This window comes from Homo sapiens, chromosome 3 (assembly GCF_000001405.40).
Source record: "Homo sapiens chromosome 3, GRCh38.p14 Primary Assembly".
Lineage (NCBI taxonomy): Eukaryota > Metazoa > Chordata > Mammalia > Primates > Hominidae > Homo > Homo sapiens.
The window spans coordinates 184740169-184746168 of NC_000003.12; the positions used below are offsets into that span (position 1 = coordinate 184740169).

The 6000-nt window shown below is 47.7% G+C and overlaps 1 annotated feature.

Moving 5' to 3' along the window:
• Positions 478 to 996: an enhancer, noted in NCBI's record as "H3K4me1 hESC enhancer chr3:184458434-184458952 (GRCh37/hg19 assembly coordinates)". NCBI's record gives its function as "activates a minimal SCP1, AML or CMV promoter by ChIP-STARR-seq in naive H9 embryonic stem cells {active_cell/tissue: H9 hESC(naive)}" and the evidence as "EXISTENCE:reporter gene assay evidence [ECO:0000049][PMID:30033119]".

Genomic DNA, 6000 nt, shown 5'->3' on the forward strand with positions numbered 1-6000 from the left:
GTCAGTGAATGGTGGCTGATATTTTTGTTTTTGTTGTCATTTCTTCGGGAATCAAAATAGACATAGAAGAATTCGCAGAAAGAGCAACAGATCTGCAGTTGGGGCTGTGGCTCTGCCTCTGAGACTCTCCCTTTATGACTTTGAACAAGTCATTTCACCCTCATGAGGCCTCGATTTCCTCATCAATAGTTTGGGATACAACTAGGTGTCCTGTAATTGGTGCCTTTCAGCTCTAATCAAAACAAAAACAAGACCCAAGCAAACATCATCACTGACAGATCTGAGGGAATCCAGCTCAGATCTTCCTGGTGTCATCTCTGATCAGAAATCAGGGAACCAACCCTGACCTTAATGGCCCTTCTAGGGGTGTGCTCTTCCCCTGGGCAGAGCCAATCCCCAGGGAAGCAGAAACTCCTACTTGCCAAACTCCTGGCCAGTCACACCCGCTTTGCCATCCTGGAGAAGGAGGGACTGTTGTGGAGCTTGTGGCAAAATCCCTCTTCCTCCCCCAAACACAGCTATGATTAGCTGTGTCCTCACCACGAAACTGCAGGGGTGTGTGCGGGTGAGTCATAGCTGTTCAAATCACATTTATAGAGAGCTCGCATGGCAGGGGGCTTGGTGGCTGTCAGAGGCACCCCAGTTCCCTTTCTCTACCCCCAACAATTGCTGAGATTTTAGGACCCAGGCATTTGGGTTACAGAGTTTCAGAATCATCTGCTGATGCCACCGGCTTCTTATGCCAGGCCCCAGCCACCCAGAGCGGCTCCCCTGGAGGAGGAGGGGGCTTGGTCCTCATCCCATTGCCCATCCCATCCCACCTGGGAGAGCTGTCCCAGGGTCAGCCCCAGGCCTGAATTGTCACTGTCTCTCACCACCCTCTCCCTGGGGCCTGCCATTCCCAGGACCACTCCGAAGGAATCAGGTACTCTCTCCAGGTGCGAACCCCACAACCTCCAGGAGCCCCAGCTCCTGCCACTCCATGCCCTAGGCTCACTCGTAGCTGTTGGCACAGGTGTCCCAGCCTCTCTGAGCTGTGCACTGTGGTCTCAAATGCCCCCTCCCACTCCCTTTCCACCCAGCCATGGGGACCCTGACAGCTCCCATCGGGAGCTGAGAAAGAAGCAGAGGCCTCTTTGGTGGAGGAATCCCGGCAGGCCGGCAAGTCCCAACAGGCCGATGTTGGGCTGCTGCAGGCAGACAGTGAGTCACCTGGGTCCCCGCTGCTTACAGGACAGAGCCAGAATAATGACAATAATAATAGAGGTCCACGGTGCTGTTATTAACGCCCACCTTTCCTCCCAGGACCATGTCTCCTTTATCCATCTGACAGCCCTTGGGGCAGGGAGGGGCCGAGGGCCCAAGAGATTTTGTTGCCCTGTCTTAAATAGGGGGGAAACTGAGGCTAAAGTTGTTTCCCACTGAACTGCTAGTCCTGAGAATAGGACTCTGCCTCCTAATGTCCCCGATGCCAGGAAAGTTCTGCAGCCCCACAGTTAGTGGTCTCCTCACTGACAAAGCTCTAGGCTCAGGGAGCAAAGAGCCCACATTTCTGGATTTCTCACACTCTGTCCTCTAACCCTTACTTACAACAACAGCTCTAGGGACTAGTTATGATTATTATCCTCATTTGATGGATGAGGAACTTGAAGTTCAGAGAGGCTAGGTAAATTCCCAAGGTCATGCAGCAAAGGAGAAGCAGACCCAAGACGTGAAGCCAGGTTGGTTTGACTGTGCTCTCTCACTCAGGGTCCTGTAATCCAGGATCTAGAGTTTCCAAGTGTGGCTTCCTAGGCCTTTTGGGCCTGCTCTTCTTCCATTGCCTTCCCCACCTGGGCTCCCTCTATCTCAAGATTAGGGTTCCTCCCAGGGCCCCCTGGAGGCCAGCTTTCATTTTCATCTTGAGCAGCCGTGGAAAATTAAGGACTCAACCACTTTAATTTTGGGGTCTTAGTAATTATCTGACACCACCCACTCAACTCTACCCACTAGTTATTACAATAATAACAATAATAATTTAGAGAAGCGATGGCAATGATCACAGCGTTTACAGAATCCGGGACTGGGCGGAGATAGATATAGCCTCACACTTCCTTTTTCTATCAGTGTGGTACTAGTTTTGGGAGTAAGGACTGTTGGAGTCTAGTCAGTTCTGGCAAGGATGCCATATATCACATGACTGAATGTGCCCCTAAATGCCTGTGTACCTTCATTTCCCCCTCTGTAAAATGTGGGAAAAAGTCTTGCAAGACGATGTGCTTTCAGCTTCCTGAAATAAAGTCATGATAAGCAACCTTTTCTTTTTCGCCACCCTATAGTCACTATTTACAATGACCCAGGAGTCTGATGCCTAAATGATACATTATCTTCATGCTCCAGTCTCCCACTGTCTGACTGCCCGGCTCTTCTTTGACGAGAGATCTCACCGATTGCGGCCCTTGGCCTTAGGAAGGGTGATGGGCTGGGCTGGAGGCCTGGGCTGAGCTCTTGGGTGCAGGGGGAGCCTCAGCTTTTCCAGCCCTCATCCTCAACGGCTGCCTCTGCCAAGGCCCTGGAGCTACAGAAAGCAAGACCAGTGCCTGAGTGCAATAAATGCTTTTATTAGTCCTTTTATTAATGACGGTTGGTATTTGTTGAGAAGCTGGGACAATAGTTATTCCAGTAAGAGGATATTAAGCTCCCTCAAACAGGCCCTGTATATCTAACAGGCTCTGGCCCCCAGCCTCCCCTGACGCAGCTCTGTTACACTGCAGCACACCCCTGGCCTCCCAGCAACTCCAAGAAGGGAGAGGAGGGATGGGGGAGGTAGGGATAATCTGGTGTCATTAAACACACAGGCCTTTGTGGAGGTTACCGTACACCAACAGCAGGAAGCTTTTTCTTCCTTCTGAGAGCATAGGGAGCCTATGTGATTTTGTTTTTTTTTTGTTTGTTTTGGTTTTTTTGTTTTTTGCTACCCCTGTGCTCCTGGCTATTTTACCTCCAGAGCTGCTGGTGATAAGTTGGTAAAGGAGGACCTCCTTAAACCATTTGTTAAACCATTTGAGACTGTTCCTAGTACTTGTTTTAAGCTATTTTACATGATTTTTAATGTAATAAACACATTTATAATACTATGTGGTGGCAATGTTCTGAGTGCTTTTCAAATACTAATTTATTTAATACTCATAACGTCTCAATGAAGTAGGCACTATACTTATCCTTATTTTATAAATGAGGAAATGAGGCCCAGAGAGGTTAAGTGACTTGCCCAAGGTCACACAGCTGATAAGTAACAGAGTTAAGGTCTAGAGACGCAGTTGTCTCTAGAGTCTATGCTTTTTATCCGAAATTTCAAAACTGAGTCTGAAAAGAACTGGGAAATATTGCCTAAATTCACAAGCTTTATTGCTTTACCAAAAGGAATTAGATATTCTCATGTAGGGGATGGTATAATAAATTATAATAGAGTTCCCCCAGAATCAGAGCATCTCTGAGATGAAAGCGTCCTTGAAGGTCATCAGATCTAATCCTCTGACGAATACAAGAATACTCTCTGCAGCATCCCTGATACGTGATCCTTCAGCTTTTGGCTGAATATCTCTAGTGTCAGGGAGCTCATTACCTAATCCAGCAGACCATCCCAACTTCGGGCTGTTCTCACTGTTAGAAAAGAAAGCTCTTGGCCGGGCGCAGTGGCTCAAGCCTGTAATCCCAGCACTTTGGGAGGCCGAGGTGGGCTGATCACGAGGTCAAGAGATCGAGACCATCCTGGCCAACATGGTGAAACCCTGTCTCTACTAAAAATACAAAAATTAGCTGGGCATGGTGGCGTGCTGTCTGTAGTCCCAGCTACTCAGGAGGCTGAGACAGGAGAATTGCTTGAACCTGGGAGGCAGAGGTTGCAGTGAGCCAAGATCATGCCACTGCACTCCAGCCTGGTGACAGAGCGAGACTCTGTCAAAAAGCAAGCAAGCAAGCAAGCAAGCAAGAAAGAAAGAAAGAAAGAAAGAAAGAGAAAGAAAGCTCTTTTCTTTCTCCAGCTGGACTGAAATTTAGCTCCCTTTAACTTAAATGGACCAGCTTTGTCTTCCAGAATTGGGTGGGCAGCAGGGCAGGGGAAGCCTTATCCCTTTTGTATAGGGCAGTCCATAAAGTGCTGAAAAATAATTTTTTTTTTTTCAGACGGAGTCTCTCTCTGTCACCCAAGCTGGAGTACAGTGGTGTGATCTTGGCTTACTGCAACCTCTGCCTCCCGGGTCCAAGTGTTTCTCCTGCCTCAGCCTCCCGAGTAGCTGGGACTACAGGTGCTCACCACCACGCCCAGCTAATTTTTGTATTTTTAGTAGAGACGGAGTTTCACCATGTTGGCCAGGCTGGTCTGGAACTCCTGACCTCAAGTGATCCACCTGCCTCAGCCTCCCAGAGTGTTGGGATTATAGGCATGAGCAACTGTGACTGGCCTGAAAAATAGCTTTCATGTCTCCCTTAAATCTTTTTTTCTCTTCTGGCTTAAACTTCCTTAGTTCTTTCATGGCCATGGTCTTCATTTGTTTTTTTAATTTCCAGATTCTCAGATTCTCCATCTCCCTGTTTCCACCTCTCTCTGAAGCACCAGAGCTCATCAGTGTTCATTTTAAAGCGATGTAGGGGCCGGGTGCGGTGGCTCACGCCTGTAATCCTAGCACTTTGGGAGGCCAAGGCAGGTGGATTGCCTGAGTTCAGGAGTTCAAGAACAGCCTGGGCAACACAGTGAAACCCCGTCTCTAATAAAATACAAAAAATTAGCCGGGCGTGGCGGTGTGCGCCTGTAGTCCCAGCTACTCGGGAGGCTGAGGCAGGAGAATTGCTTGAACCCGGGAGGCGGAGGTTGCACTGAGCTGAGATCGTGCCACTGCACTCCACCCTGGGCGACAGAGCGAGACTCTGTCTCCAAAAAATAAAAAAATAGAGTGATATAGGAATGAAACACGGCACATCAGGTGTGGTCCTGCAATGCTGAGTGCAGGATCATCACCTCCCTTATCTCCCTTGTTCATATTCTACATTTCCAATGATGCAGCCTAAACTTGCCTTAGGTTTTTTGACTCTTGACTCACAATGAGTTTGCAATCAATGTGTAGCACTTTTAGCTTCTTTTTCCAAATTCTGAATTTGTACAGCTGTGCTGGGTTTTTTTGTTTGTTTTTTAAGCCCAAGGGTGGGACTTCACATTTACTGCTGATAAATTTCATCTTGTTAAATTCAGTTCCTTGTTGTAACCTATCAAGGCGGACATGGAACCTTATTCTGTTACCCTATTTTATGATTTCCTACTTGATTTTGTATCATCTGAAATTTTGATAAATATGCCACCTGTGTTCCCATTCAGGTAGTCACTAATTGTTTTTAAAGCTGGATAGGAAAATTTTCCGAGGTTGGGTTTATGGAGGAAGATGAGGCCAAGCGAGAGTGACTCTGAAGGAAAGATTTCTGTTTGGATGGATCTGAGTGACGACGAGCGCTGTGCACCTCTGGGGGTGTGAGCGGCTGGGTAACCAGGTAAAGTCTCCCATGGCATCATGCCTGCGTCAGAGCCTGTGACCCATGACGAGGCCGGAAGGCAAATACTGATAGCGCCCAGTTCATAGAGCTGATTGTTTCCTATATCCTCTGCTGACAAGTGTTGAGGGTGTGAAATAGAGGATATCATAAAATAGAAGCAAGGCCCATTGTGAGGCGACAAACAGGACTTTCAGATCAGAAAAAGCCAGGTGCTTGCTGTCAGCATCAAGACCTCCAGAAGTAAAAAAGAAGACATTCTTGGAGCAAAAGTAGAATGGACAAAAAAAGTGCTTTAGCACACTGCTTGGAGTTTGAAAACATTTTTCTCCACTTAAACAACCCTTCTGTCATTCCTTAGAGGTCATACCTGAAAGCCAAAGAATCAGGCTGAGGCCACATCATTGGGGTTGACAGCAGGGGTTCTCAGTTTATCCCCAGGGGTACTGGAAATGAATTGAATGTTGCAATCTTGCTACC